The following is a 15,163-nucleotide window of genomic DNA, read 5'->3' as shown; positions in this document are numbered from 1 at the left end:
TGCTTTATTTTGGGTGAAATTTTATGTAAAACATTCAAAAGCTCTCAATCCAGAGGACAGTGAATCTAATTCAATCTATTTCTGCATATTAATTACTTCATTTCTTCTATTTGATTATAAAATCTACCATTACTGATTTCCTTAAGACACACTATTACATGAAAGGAACACATCAATTCTGATTGACTTCAATTTTAGAAATAAAAAGTGAAAACATATATCTAAGAACAGAGGAAAAGTGGCAGTCATTTATTTTTTTATTTATTTATTTTTTTGTGAGACGGAGTTTCACTCTTGTTGCCCAAACTGGAGTGCAATGGCAGGATCTTGGCTCACTGCAACCTTCACCTCCCAGGTTCAAGTGATTCTCCTGCCTCAGCCTCCCGAGCAGCTGGGATTACAGGTGTGTGCCACCATGTCTGGCTAATTTTTTGCATTTTTAGTAGAAATGAGGTTTCACCATGTTAGCCAGGCTGATCTTGAACTCCTGACCTCAGGTGATCTGCCCACCTTGGCCTCCCAAAGTGTTGGGATTACAGGCATGAGACACTGTGCCCAGCTGGTAGTCATGTTTTTTTAGCCCCAACTAGATAACATATTGGACTAAAAAAGTGTTGCATATTTTCATCAGTCTAAAAGACCCCAGGCATCATTTGTGGAGAAAATTTGTTTGCTCATTGTAGATTTTCCCCTGGCCAATATAATCTCTCACTGGAGACAGTGTGTCAGCCTCACCCCCACCCCTAAAGTTTGCCATTTCTAATATGCTCAGGAGTGGTAAATCAGTCTGTTATATAAAGTTAGGATTACTGTAAGATTAGGGACTTTCCAGCAAACTGCACAACTTTTAGTTCACTGCCTTTAGAAAGCTTTCTTTTTGCTGTGCCCCAGTTTGGGGCTTGTTGTGGATCTTGGTTGCCAGATTTGTGATTACTGTTAAACTATAATCTATCACTTTAACAAAACATCTGTCATCTTGATAATGGGGAAAGAGTACTAGGTATTAGGATGATGGAACAAAAAACACCCAAAACCAACACCAAAAATCTTTCCCCCTAGAAAACAACTCCCATCTCCGCAAAAAGATAAGTAAGATGGAAACATCAATGACAGGGACAATTAAGAAAGTTGGGAGGAAGAAAAGGGCCCGGAGAAGATATCAAAAAGTGGTCATTTTGAATACCTTCTCTTGGTACTCTACTGATTCGTAACCTTCATGAAGCTAAGTGAGTATAAAAATGTGAATCATTTCCAAATGAGATCAATAAAATGAATTTCAACTATAAAATAACTGTTTTTTAAGCTTCAGATAATACTTTCTTCAGCCAATGTGTAAACTGTTGTGTTAAAGGGAAGCTGAACTATATACCTGTGCAATTTATCATTTACAGCTCCTTTTCCTGGTTGCCAACCAGCTAAGATATCTATGTTTACCACATAAGAGAGTTTCTGTTAGTCAAGTCCAAAGTACACATAACTCTATTGCTAAGGCAAGAACTCTCACATGAGTCACTGTAATGGCCATCTCTAGAGAAATTGGAATGCATTTTTATAATGTGAGTGTTTGAAAAGATGTCAAGTTGTTGCTTGGTGAGCAGAGTTGCTTAAAAGTTCCAGAGAGAAGCTGTGATCGAGGACTAGCAGTGTTGTAGGTGCTGTACAAGGGGAATAACCAGCACCATCTAACAGGACCTCATGGCTGACCTGGTTAGAATTGGGTTTAGTCTTTCGAAATTTGTTGTAATCCTAAAAATAGAGGTAAATCTCTTGCCATCTGTCAGATTTTACCACCATCACCTGCACATCTTACTGCATTTTCTTTAGTAATATAGCTAGAGTGGACTTTTCTAGGTAAATCTGCCTAGTATCAGAACTTGAACTCCTCTCCTTAAAAATCTATGTTGAACTGATGCACTGTATCTTGTTTCTGCAACTAGTTTTAAGCTCCTTGAGGTATTTATGACCTTGTGTCTCCTACAATGACTTGAGTCCAATAGATGTTCAATCAATATTTTGAGTGACTGCTGAATTAACTTTGTAAAAGCTTCTTTGGTACAGGAACTATGAAAATATTTGCTGTTGGTGACTGTACATACATGAAGTTCACGATGCTACTCTGTAAAATAATACTTGGGGTTCTTTGCTTAGCAGCAGTGAATGATGGGGGCTGCTCCTATAGGGAAGGCCTGGCTGACTTTGGAAGGGCATAGCCAGCCTTTGGAAATAAAAAGGACCCAGCCTAACTTGGCCCCAAAGGCCTGCTGGCTTTTAAGTATTAATTTTATAGAGATAAATCATGACTCAGTCAAATATAACATGAACACATGCTATGATGTTTAATTTTATTTGTAAACTTGTCTAGGCTAGAGTACCCAGACATTTGGTCAAACATTATTTAGATGTTGCCATGAAGGTATTTTTAGATGAGATTAACATTTAAGTCAGTAGACTTTGAGTAAAGTGGATTACTCTCCAAGCTACAGATGGGTCTCATATTCAGTCTTTGTACCCAATCCATTCTTTGATTGGGAGAATATAGAATACTCCACCTCCTGCACACCTTATTATCACACCAACACGGCTCCATTATTATAACAGTGGATTATGGCTGAAATTGCTGAAAGACACAGGCCATGTCTGAAGAGGAGATACTTAAGGAAGCCCAAAGTCAAGAAGTGAGACAAAAACAAAGACCACCAGAGGAATTTTCAGACCTCTGGCATCTGTAACTACGCAACAATTATATAGCTCAACTCCTAGCCAGATTAATATAAATCCTCACACACAATGAAGGCTCGTTTACTTCAGTTCCTCCTGCCTGATACAGTGTGTTCTGCCTTCAACAGAAAATGATAGGACATGCCAAATAGCAAGGAAAAAAATCACACACACACTTTAGAGATGTTGGGGCAGCTGGACCCAACACCAGGCCATGGGGGCGACAAAGTCCGGTGGAGTCAAAAGAATGAGAAAAGACAAGTTTAAGAGTGCATAAAGTGGGACCAGGGGGCCAACACTAGTGTGGAGGTTGTGAAGGCTCCGAGCTCTGGGAGCCCATGCTATTTATTGGTAATCCAACAAAGAAGCAGGTGGTGAGGATATGAGGGTTGAAAGGAAGTGGTGCATCAAGTGCATAAGCTATAGCTGTGATGGTTTAGCATTTCCTTTGAAGCATATGGAACATATTCTGGTACTTGAGATAATGGGGAACATGTTCTTCTAGTTTAAGATACAATCATTTTATAAGCCTGGGAATGCTAGAAGCAAGGAGCCAGTAAGTCTAGACACATTCCAGAGGCCATGAGGGGTTTTATGCCCTGAGCCCTGGATTCCATCCAAGCCACGAGGGGTTTTATGCCCTGGGCTTAGATTATGGTGTGGCAGGGCAGCCTTCCACCCTTTGGCACAGAGCTTGTTGTTCCAAAGACCATGAGGGGTTTCAGACCCTGGACCCCCGACATGTTCCAAGACTCTTTTACATTATGTCAGAGATGCAAGCCCTGCCTCAGCTTTTTTCCCAAAACTCAGCTTTTCCCCAACATAAAGAAACAAAACAATCATTAGACCCAAACTCAAATATTACACAGATGTTGGGATCTTCAGATAGGGAGTAAAAAAATAACTATGATTGATATATGAAGAGCTCTAGTGGAAAAAGTAGACAACATGCAATAATAGATGGGCAATGTAAGCAGAGAGATGGAAATGAGAAAGAATCAAAAGGAGATGCTAGAAATAAAGAATACAGTAAGAGAAATGAAGAATGTCTTTGGAGTTCAAAGTGAAATCAACTATCCAAGGAAAGAATCAGTAAACTTAAAATGGGTCAATAGAATCTTCTCAAACTGAAATGCAAAGGAAAAAGAAAAAGAATGGAAAAAAATGGAACAAAACACCCTAGAACTGTGAGACTATTTCAAAAGATGTAACATAAGCAATATTGGAATTCTGAAGGAGAGGAAAGAGAATGGAGTAGAAGAAATATTTGAAGTAATAATAGCTGAGAACGTTTTAAAACTAATGACATATATGAAACTATAGATCTGGGAAGCTCAGAGAGTGCCAAGTAGGATAAATGCCAAAAAATCCACCACCATTTAGGCTTATCATATTCAATCTTCCTCTTAGAGGAACATGGATAAGAATTACATCAGACTTCTCCTCAGAAGCCATGTGAGTGAGAAGAGTAGAATGAAATACTTGAAGTATTGAAAGAAAAAGAAATTACCCATCTAGAATTTTTATTTAGTGAAATTATCCTTCATAAATGAAGGAGAAATAAAGGCTTCTTCAGACAAAGAAAAACTGAGGGAATCCACCTCTAGAAGACTTTTTCTTCAAGAGATGTTAAAAGCCAGGAGAACAATGATACAGGTTGGAGACTCAGATCTATTTAAAGAAGAAAGAACATCAGAGAAGAAATAAATGAGTATAAAATAAAATCTTTTTTTCTTATTTTTTAATTGATTCAAAAGAACTTTTTAAAGCAATAATGATATCAATGTTTTGGGTTATCATAGCATATGAATAAGTGAAATGAATGACAGCAATGTCCTATGGGATGAGAGCAGCTTATTGGGAATACTCTGTTATAAGGTCCTTGGAGCACATGTGATGTGAGTGGAATGTTATTTGAAATAGATTTCAATTTAGATGGACTACATTCTAGGGACACCACGAAAATTTTTAAAAAGATGTATAATCAAAATGATAAAGTAAAATGAGATTATATAAAATCCCTAGTTAAAACCAGACAAGGAAGAAAAACAACAGGAAAAGAGCAGGGGAAAGAACTCTGTATTTTCTTTGCAATTTTTCTGTAAATCTAAAATTATTCTAAAATTAAAAGTTTCTTCAAAAACGTTAAGGAGCTTGTTCCTGTATTTTTTAAGTAGATGATGGTGATTATTTAATCATTACGGTTTTTAGATATCATGGATACATTGTGGTATTTAGACTTCACTGGTTAAACTAAAAATGTAATTTTTAGTTGTCGATGTTTACAAGATGCTGGAAATATATGTTCTTAAAACTATTCAAACTTATGCAAAGTAAGAATATAGATTTCAACTTCATAAATTTAAGGGGATATATGGTGTTTTAAAATTCTTTCAGTTTGTAAGAGCAAAAAGTTATAAGGCTGTCGGCCTGTATTTAACCCATGTGGGAACAGAACACCCATCAGGCTTATGTTGAATTGCATTTTGTGCCAGAGAAGGGTGGAGAATGGCAGTTGTTGGTTAGGTGAGGTGCAAGATCCACTGGTGGGCCAATTACTAACCGATCATCCCTCTCACCTGCCCACCCTCAGGAGAGCTGCCTTGAATGGCAGCCTGGGGGAGAAGGACCTTGAAGTATCATCCAGGCTCTTTGAGGAAGAGTCCAGAATGGTGGACAATGTCTGTTCTGTGCTCAGGATTGCGGGTGTTCAACCACATGCAGTATATTTATTAAGCTTGGCCCAGGTGAGTGCTCTAGTGCGAATGTAACCGGGAGGGAAAACCAGACAGAGCATAGTAGGATGAGGACGACCCTGAAAGAACTCATGTGTGGTCGAGGGTGTGTCTTGTGCTGGGGATTTGAAAAGTGGGGTTTGGGCTAAGTGAAGTTTTAATGACAAGGTGAAAAGGAGTTCATTTTAGTCGAGGGGAGGCTGTTGGTCTTGGGCCAGGAGGGCAGATAATTGTACTGAGAATGGTGTTGGCAGCTTCTGCTGGAGAGCTCTGCTTGCCTACAGTTAGACTGGGATTGAAGTCACTTGTGAAGACTAGGGGCGTCAACAAATATGAATTTTGTCTTACTTGGTTTTGCCTGATGAGATTCTTTATTTTTTAACATCTAGCTATTAATATGTTTAAGAAATTATATTTTAAAGATTCTGCCATAGTTCTGAACTGGCCGTTTTTTCATTGGTGGGGATTCAACAAATTCCTCTAATTGGTTTTGATCCCAGTATCTGAAATTCTGATCTGAATCCAATAAAATGCAGAGTTTTAGATTCCTTGGCAGGAGATCCTCACTCACATGCCTCTGAAAAGAAGATCCCTTAGTATACAGAAATTTGGGGAGAATGAATTAGATACCTTTGAAGAATTAGTCATTGTTCATGGGTTTATACTCCTGGTCATTGATATTTATAGGACTACTGTTGGTGAACTTGCTTCCACCTTAATCTTTGAGTAACAATGTTAGGTTGGAAGAAAATGAGGACTCTAAAACCTCTAGGTATACTACCATGGGCAATACAAAATAAATCTGCTTGATTATTGCATAAAAAAATAGAATATGGATCAACAATCAGGATATCTTTTTATTGAACAAAACTTCCAGTAGAACCAATTCTCTGGAGTGGCCATGCCAGGCTAGTGGCCCCCAGGTGTCTGGTGAGCAGTGACTGCAGGACAAGGGCCAATCTCATGTGTTCTGAGCCTCCCTGGGCTATACCTCACATATCCTTTTGAAGTTGGTCCTATGTGATAGGCATATGGCTCTTAATTATCACCTTACATGAACTAATCCTGTGGCACTTGTTCTGCATTTATAGCTCTTACACATGCAACCTGTACCCTGAAGCTCAAAGGTTTCCAAACTGCCAAAGGACAAGGTCTTTTTGGGGGATGGCCTAACCAGGAGGTACCCCTAGTATGGGGAATTTGCATGCTATCCAGCATAGAAAATTTCCAGGGTTCCTTTCTCCTGGGGTCCTGGGCTGGGCTCACCTCAGCAGCTATAGCCATTCACACTCCACTAGTCATAGCCATCTATATTTTTAAGTGTTATTGACACCTGCTTCTCTAGTAGCCCATGTGGTACTATTTTTAAAAAGGATCTTAGTGATAGAAACAAGATTCTTTGACTTATCAGCAGAAAAATATTTCCCTCAGTGAATGAAGAAATCTTGTTTTCATATATGTGAATCGGCTCAACTGGATGAAATTTATATGAAGACAATACAGATTTTGTTTGCTTTTCTCATTGGAACGTGTCCCAAGGATAGCAATCAACCATCAAGATAGATTTAATCCAGACAAGACTATATTTTCTTATTACTGTCTCTAGAAAGTAATTATCACCTGCTTCTTGAAATGAATAACTTCCAAGAAGAATGGTCTGCAGTTACTGTCTTAGATTTTTCTCATGTTTTTCATTCCCACTTGCTTGTACTGCATCAGTTATAACCTGTGAGACAAAGGGCAGCACACAACCATTTTAATACTCCTTGGATTAGTTTAAATTCATGTCATCTCTAGGGTATATTTCTTCTGGGAATTCAAATAGCTTCAACAACATCCTGCCAGGTTCATAGATTACTGAGGGTCCTAAGTTTTAAAATCCACCCTTCTTTGGGGTAACTAAGGGCAGCATGAAGTAGCTGAGTGATGATAAAAGGCAGTTTAGGGGCATAATATGGGAGCTAGTGACCCTGAAACTGATACTTTTCCTGGAGAGCTTTAGAAGAATTCATGATTCAGATGGACACAAAACAGGGTACTTCATACAGCTTTTGATTTCTGCCCTGAGCTTTGAAACAAGGCCTCCACAAACTCCGGAACTTATGGAGCACACAGCCCTTATTCCTGAGGTTTCCCCATGCTGCTCTTAGGAAGACATTTAGTGACTGTCTTTAGAGGCGAATGAAAAAAGAAAACCCAGAAAGAAAGATTTCCTCCCTTCCTCCATATATTCATGTGAGTAGGTACCTGTTTCACAGAATGATATCTCATTTATGGTGTTGTTAGAAGTATTATCCTTTGTTTTGTGCATCTTTTGCTTAAAAATATCCCTACAGTATTTATTGTATAATTGAATCAAATAAAGTGACTCAAAATGCCACTTTGTTAGGATTAACAGTTTTCAAAAGACTTTCATACGTTATCTTGTTTGACCAGCATAGGAACCCTGAGGGGCTCACATTCTTGTCATAATATCACAAGTGACAAACTCTTTGTCTTAAGAAGGTAAGGGATGTGCCCAGGCCACTGGATTAAAGAACAGTAGAGATAAAATTAGAAGCCAGATTCCCTGACTCCTTTAGTCCAATGTTCAGTTCCTAAAATGTCTGAAAGGACTCAATTAGGAATAACGGGAAGTGGATGTTGGGAGGATAACTAAATACTTGTTATTGCCATATTAATTTAGAGTACAAACATTATTCTGTACCCCCTTCCTGGATCTGTCAAAGAACACAGGAGCAGACACACTCTTTGATTCAATTCTGGCAGCAATAACTGTAGTAGGGGTGATAGGGTGATTGCAGGAGAAGGTTACAAGGAGAGGGTAGGTTCCCTTTCTAGACTGTCCACAGAAACTTCTGTGGCTTTGGCAAAAAGATTTCTGTCATCATCTAGTACAACTTCTGAGGGTCTCGCACCATTGGAGTTTGTGCTTATATCTTCTGCAGGAAGATTAGCTGGTTCTAGGGCTGATGGACTTGACCCTAGGGTGAAGACAGTGTTGGTGAACAGGTCCCTCCAGTCAGGGGCTTCCCTCTTGCTGCCATCTCTGCTTGCTCACCATTATTGTCTTTGGTGTTTTGCTCAAAGAGTGTGTTTGTTAGGACCTTGTTTCCAAAGCTTTAGGGTAGCCAGAGCTCAGATCACTTTTGCTTTACTGTGGGATATTTACCTTGTGCTTTGGGTGAACAGCTTAGGTAGCTAGCTGCTTGGTGTTTTGAAATATCCATGTTTCCACTTAGAAGACTGGTGTTTTGTTTATTTTAATCTGTCATGTGCAGAAATGAGGCTTAACTGGGATAGATTTCCTATTTGTGTGTGGAGGTGTGAGTTGGAAGGTGTACACTTGGTCTGTTCTTGTAAGGGCTGAGGTGGGCAGAGCAAAGGGACCTGGAGATGGGGCAAGGATGGCAATGACTTGAAGGGTCTGTGTGTGTGGAGGGAGGAGGCCCAGTCAGGATGCTCAGAGTGAAACTGGATCCACCTGCTCACAGAGCGTGGCTGGGTTTCATTCATCTTGCCATTCATTATTCCTTACCAGAATTAATTATCAGTGCATGAGGACCAATGATGAACCAATCTGCACATAGATGGGTTTCTGTTCAGACACAGGGGGCTTGTTGCCCTTCAGGGAAGCTCTGCCTCATAATCACTCTTCTAAATGCCTCAGGGCACCCATCCCTATGGGTTCTGGGAGGTCCCCAGACTCCTTTGTCCCTTTTACTTCTCCTGCCCTGTGCATCTTCCTCCCTTCCCTGGGCCAGCAACACTGGCCTGTTTGTATTCTGGGGCTCCATTCTTTGGACTTCAGGCTTCTGTAGTTTTCTTCTAGCCTAAAAGAGGATGAATCATGAACTCTACCTTGCAGAGAAAAACTGGAAAATCATTCAGGGAGAAAACAGACTCAAGTCTTGACCATCTGCTTTTACAGCTACTGCCTCTGCTTTCATCTCAGACAGCTAAGCCTGAGCACCTGAGAGTATGTCAGAGGAGAAACTACAGCACAGGCAACTCCACCCCTCCAATACCGCTTGGTTGGGTAGGGCTAGAAGGAGACATTGTGGCACAATAGGAAAAGCCTGGGATTTGGAGTCAGATAGATATGAGTTCAAATTCTGTCTCTGCTAATTACTACTTTAAAATAGTTTCTAAACCCAGATCCAACCTAAATAAAATGAATCAGTCTCTCCAGGTGGGGCTTGAGCATTTGCGATTTCTAAAAACTTCCCCCGGTGATTCTAATGTGCAGCCAGAGCTGGATGCCATTAATCTGACATTTTGCTCTAGTTTGGGGAGATTTCCTAGTTTCCCAGATTCTGCACTGCACATCTCTCTGTGATGGTGGATACTCACTCTTTCTCCAGGCTGTGGGCAGCCAAACATGCCTCCTTTTTCTAAGACTCTCAGTTGGCCCTGACTGTACTGCTTTTTGGGAGTTGCCAATATTCTTTATCTTTCTAGATGACTTCATTGTGTATTGACCTTTGTTACATGCTCTCTTGAGTTTTATCCCTTCCTTTCTTTGTATTATCTTGATCAGTTTCTATCATAATTCATTGGTCTTTTTGGTAAAGAAGAGTTAGTGACTATCTTCTTTCCTAAGCAGGTCTTGATGAGTCAAGTAAAGTGAGAACTGTTCTTGGATGTTCTGAAGCTGCTTTTAAAATATTTATTTATATTCCTCATCTCTTATCAATTTCTTCTCCTTAAAAATCCTTTGTTTTCATTTATATTTTTCTCAACTCTCAGATTAACTTCTTATTTGTCTCATAAGATGCTTGTCAATATCCCTTCTGTGTTTTCTGATGATATAGTGACCCTCCCAGACTTCAACCAAAATCATATCACTAAATATTAAAAACAAAGGCAGGGTTTATCTTAAACTCGTGTGTTCCTTTTAACTCTTGTCAAATGAGAGCATTTGGATACAACCTTGAAGACTCAGCGGTGTGGTCTATTCATTGCTCACCCAAGTCAGTTACACTGAACTGAATAACCATGTAAATGATTTTGCTGCTCCTCCTCTTTCTCCTCCTTCTCCTCCTCCTCCTCCTTCTTCTTCTTCTGTCTCTCTCTCTGTGTGTTTAACAGAGAGATTCTTCTACATGAATTTTTAAAACCATAGCAACTGACTTGAAAAAATACAAATTAGACCAACCACCTAGTTTTGTCCTCGCACTGCTAGAGTAATAATTTTAAATTAAAATTTTTGCCAGCGCTTGAGCTTTTTAAATTTGGACTTCCTGAAGGACTTGGATTATGCTTCTGAATTGTCCTGTGCAATACCTAGAACATGCCACTGGGAGCTAAAAGTGCTTTGGTGCTGGAGGTGGTGAGGGTGCTGAGCTCTTGACAATGATGCTGTGTCATTAGTGCACTGTAGCTATAATTAAGGTTAAAAAGATACAATTTGCCATTGTGTCATTGAGACATGCAAGTGTCAGTTATTCATTCAACAAAAATTTGTGAATTATTGAGTAGTTTTATGTGCTAGGAGCTATGTGTCATTCAGTTATTCATTCAACAAAAATTTGTGAATTATTGAATAGTTTTATGTGCTAGGAGCTGTGTGTCATTCAGTTATTCATTCAACAAAAATTTGTGAATTATTGAATAGTTTTATGTGCTAGGAGCTATTATGAATAAAGATGATTCAACATAAATTTTTGTAAAGTTTCACAGTAAACTTTGATCAATGTTTTTATCGTTTTTGAATAGAGGTAGATACTTATAGTATTGCATACATGATTAAAAGGAAAGTATTCTAAGAGTAAATATCAGGTAAAAAGAACTTTCTACCAATAATATTGAATATGACTTTAAACAATTTGGTCTGACTCCTCCCTCCCAGCCCCCCACCCCTTCCAGCTTATCTGGTTTGCCTGCTCTCTTTTGAGATACTTTACAAGATAAAAGCTGCAGATAAATTATTTGGAATTACCCAAATATGTGAATGGTTTGGGAAACTGCATATTCTAGACCTTTGCAAACCAATTTTAGAAATTTTTAGATGCCTGTTAATTTTTTCCTAGGCTACTAGATTAATAACCATTGTTGAATCAGAAATGCATCCATCTTCCAAAATGACATTATTGCAAAATCCCCAAATTGCTTGCAATTCCTACAGTAGGCCCTAGATTGTATCTACACAGTGTGAAATGTACATGTGAGTAATTATACAGAAAGCTCAATCAGTATAGATCTCAGTCTGGATGATTAAAGACAAGGGCTTTCTCTTCATCTTAAGTGGGTTTATTTTAAATGAGTATAACATACCTCTATAAATAATGTACTTTTCAAGGCAAAGTAAACACTCTATTTATCTTGCATTGTTTGGGAATGGAGTGCCCATGTTAACAAATTTTACAAAAACTGAAGCTCGCCACTTCAGAAGCTTTTTGTGGAAACTATTTTGTAGTGAAAAACCTTGAATGTGTAGTTTTCATGTTTATGGCTCCTTCAGCATAATATGCTGAATAAAATGTGAGTTTCTTAATGGTGAGTATCATTAGAATTGGCAAATAGTAGTAAGCATAACTGATCTGTATAGAAAATTTTAAAGGCAATGAATAGTCCTGGATGTCTTTTGAACAGACTTTAAAACATTGTCTTTTTATTGCAAGTCTATTTGATGTGACTTGTTTTCTCATTCCTTCATTCGTGGAACTGTAAACCCAAAATAAAATTCTAGGCACCCCTAGCCAAAAGAATGGATCTTCCTCTTGGCCAAAGGGATCCCAAAGAAACCTGAAGAACTAGTTCCAGCCATGATGGGAAGGGAGCACCAGGACATGCCTGTTTATACTCTCCTCTCTTTGGAGTTTAGACACAATTGATCAGCATTAACATGAAAACAGAACTCTTATGACTGACAAAACAGACTTTTTGTAGCAGTAAGATACCAAATTCCAACCTGACTCTGGTATAGTACCACATAACACAGCAGGTCCTGAAAGAAATAAAAGTATTTTACCCCACAATATATTTCTTTGACATATTTTGAAATGGTCCTGCAAAGCTGTTTCTTGTCGGGGGAATTTGCGTTCTATAGAGACTCTCCTTCCATTACTAGTTTTTTTCCAGAGTCTGATGTCTTTTAAGGTCTGATAAGAGACAGTCACCATCTATTCTCTCTGAAGCCTTCTACAGGGAGGCTTTGTCTACATAACAAGAACCTTGGCTTCCACAATCCCCCCTATCTTAACTCAGGCTGACTTCAACTGTTTCTACAATTGCCAGTCAATAAATCTTTGAATTTACCTATGACCTGGAAGCACCCCTCCCAACCTGCCCATTTGGAGATGGGCAAACCAGTGATAGCTTACGTGTGTTGACGTATGTCTTTACCTGTAACTTCTGTCTCCCTAAAATGTATAAAAGCAAGCTGTAACTCAACCACACCTTGTGCACATATTCTCAGGACCTCCTGAGGCTCTGTCGTGGGCTGGCTCTTAACCTTGGCAAAATAAACCTCTAAACTGATTGAGACATGCCTCAGATCCTTTTTGGTTTATAGAACAAATATTTATAGTGTGCCAGAACTCTTTGTATGCCTAACTTCAATACTTCTTCTCTCTACCCCTTTAAAATTCCTGGTTTCTAATCTGTGATGAGTCATTAAACCAGAAAAGCAAAGTGACTACACTTGTATGCAAAATAAGAATTAATAGGATCCTTGAAGTTCTAAATGTCCTGTTTGATATCATCATGTTCATAAGGTTTAGTACATGTCCTTAGTGGGGGATGCTATTGGCACGTCCTGCTCGCATGCTTGCTCATAGATGTGTGTCTGATGCCTGTAAGTTTGGGATAAATGAGGTGTTATAACTTTTTAGAGTTTTTTTTTTTTTTCTTCTCCCTGGAAGGAATGAGCTTAGAATACCACAGGTGTGTGTTGTAAGGGCATATTGTTGAGTTTGTTTTCTCAGGAATTGGGAAAAAACAATCCTTTCCATTGGCTTTTTGTAGCATCAGCATCAATGCAGTTTGGGTGTGGTAGAAGCAAAGACATGGATACATGTTACTGTCTATCCCAACCCACATGATAGGTTTTATGGACCATTCCCTGCTTAATAATGACTCAACAAATGTTGAGTATATAGCCATGTGTGATTCCGTCTTTAGATCTTTATAAAAATATACTTTTTGATTGGAAAAAAACTTATTTGTCAGATCCCATGTCCCAATTTTTGGATTGCAGAATATGGTCACTTTTGGAGTAAAAGTGGGAAATGGCTGAAACTTTGATAGAGGTTGCTGTGAATATCTTACAGACGGCATTCCCTCCTATGTTCCCCTGTGGGAAGTGGAGGGAAGTTTCCTCCCTTTATCAAAATGTAAGAAGCTGGGTAATAAGTCTTGTGAGCTCCACCCCTCCCCAGTTCCCACTCAGTGTCAGGAGCACTGCTGAGGCTGCTGCTACTGCTAGCATTGTCTTCCTTTCCTTTCAGCTGCTGCTTGGTGACGTTAGACCCTGATAAATAAGAGGACCCAGAGGCAAAGAGACTTTAGTGCAAGGGTCATTCTTCGGTCCCCCATAGCATTTTATTTATACTACTCTTAGCACATGCATCCTAACTTTAATTTATGTTAGTTACGCTGACCGGATTGTAAACACCTCTGAGACAAGGGACTGAGTCTTATTTTATTATTATGCGTGTCTCCAGGCCTAGCATTGGGCCTGCTGCAGAGTGGGTGCTGGCAAATGAATGAATGAATAATTGAATGAATGTGCGCTTGTATCATTGAAAGCTCTCCCTGACCTTCGCATTGATGGATTTTTATTTGTCCTGAGAGCTTATTTATAGGTTTTCCTTTCAGGTGTATGAACTTTAGTGTGAAAAGCAAGAGTTAGAGAAGGATGAACTTGTGCCCTGAAGTCAATAGGAGGGAGGTTCTGTAAAAGGGAAGTGCAGGCCTGGGGCAAGGGGCAGAGTTGAAATAACTGACTTAATTTGTAAAGGAAATGGAGAATGCCCCAGGCTCAGGGCTGTCAGCCAAGTGGGTTTTCAAAAGCACTGATTTCAGTTGAACAAAGGAATGTTGTGTCAATATGAGAAAGTTTTTATCGTTTTCATCTACTCAGGCTGCCTTCTCTTCACTATTTCTGTGTCTTGACATTTTAGAATGGATAGACCCCTGTATCAACGCTAGCACTATCCATGTTCTCTTACTAGAGAAGGCATTCGAGTTTTTGTTGCTTTTGTCATAATGGAAGGTTATAAGATAAAAACAATTTGTTAACTTGATATTTTTGTCCTTACATGTATGTTCTAGAAATGAGATTAGTTTAACAATGTAGCACTATCACTGTAGTTTTAAAATGAAATTGGAACATAATCACTCATTTTCTTCCATTTTCTCCCCATGAAATTGTAATATTGGAAAGAGAATTCAGTGTTGGAGGAATTTATTTTTTTGTAGAACTATATTTTCATGATTTTCTGGCCCACAGAGATCCTATAAAAGAACGGCAGGCAAGCCTGAGCATCAGTGACTCACAGAGCATTCAGTGCTCCAACTGACCTTGAGTAAAATTTCTGGGCATTTAGGAGAATGATGGCATAAGAGGAGATTACCCTTCCTCAAACGTACCACAAATCAGATAACTTTACAGTGTTCCTACTATGAAATTTTAGATTATGAGGCAAGAGTCAGACAGTTTTGCCGTATAAATCAGACCAGTATCAACTCACGTAAGCTAGTGTGAT

General features: G+C 39.0%; 1 protein-coding gene and 1 pseudogene across 27 annotated transcripts in view, besides 2 other annotated features; one reads left to right on the top strand and one right to left on the bottom strand.

Annotated features, from left to right (window-relative positions):
• The window catches only part of PDE1C (phosphodiesterase 1C), an 811,448-nt gene that overhangs the window by 478,487 nt on the left and 317,798 nt on the right, over positions 1-15,163 (top strand).
• SNX2P2 (sorting nexin 2 pseudogene 2) lies at positions 8,158-8,477 on the bottom strand (annotated as a pseudogene).
• Positions 10,314-11,513: an enhancer, noted in NCBI's record as "CDK7 strongly-dependent group 2 enhancer chr7:31977838-31979037 (GRCh37/hg19 assembly coordinates)". NCBI's record gives its function as "activates an origin of replication core promoter dependent on BRD2, BRD4, P300/CBP, MED14 and CDK7 cofactors, with strong dependence on CDK7, by STARR-seq in HCT116 cells {active_cell/tissue: HCT116}" and the evidence as "EXISTENCE:reporter gene assay evidence [ECO:0000049][PMID:35650434]".
• Positions 14,308-14,602: a silencer, noted in NCBI's record as "tiled region #14950; HepG2 Repressive non-DNase unmatched - State 24:Quies". NCBI's record gives its function as "represses a minimal TATA promoter and a strong SV40 promoter by Sharpr-MPRA in HepG2 cells {active_cell/tissue: HepG2}" and the evidence as "EXISTENCE:reporter gene assay evidence [ECO:0000049][PMID:27701403]".

This window comes from Homo sapiens, chromosome 7 (genome assembly GCF_000001405.40).
Source record: "Homo sapiens chromosome 7, GRCh38.p14 Primary Assembly".
Taxonomy (NCBI): Eukaryota; Metazoa; Chordata; class Mammalia; order Primates; family Hominidae; genus Homo; species Homo sapiens.
This window is presented reverse-complemented; position numbering and strand designations above follow the sequence as displayed.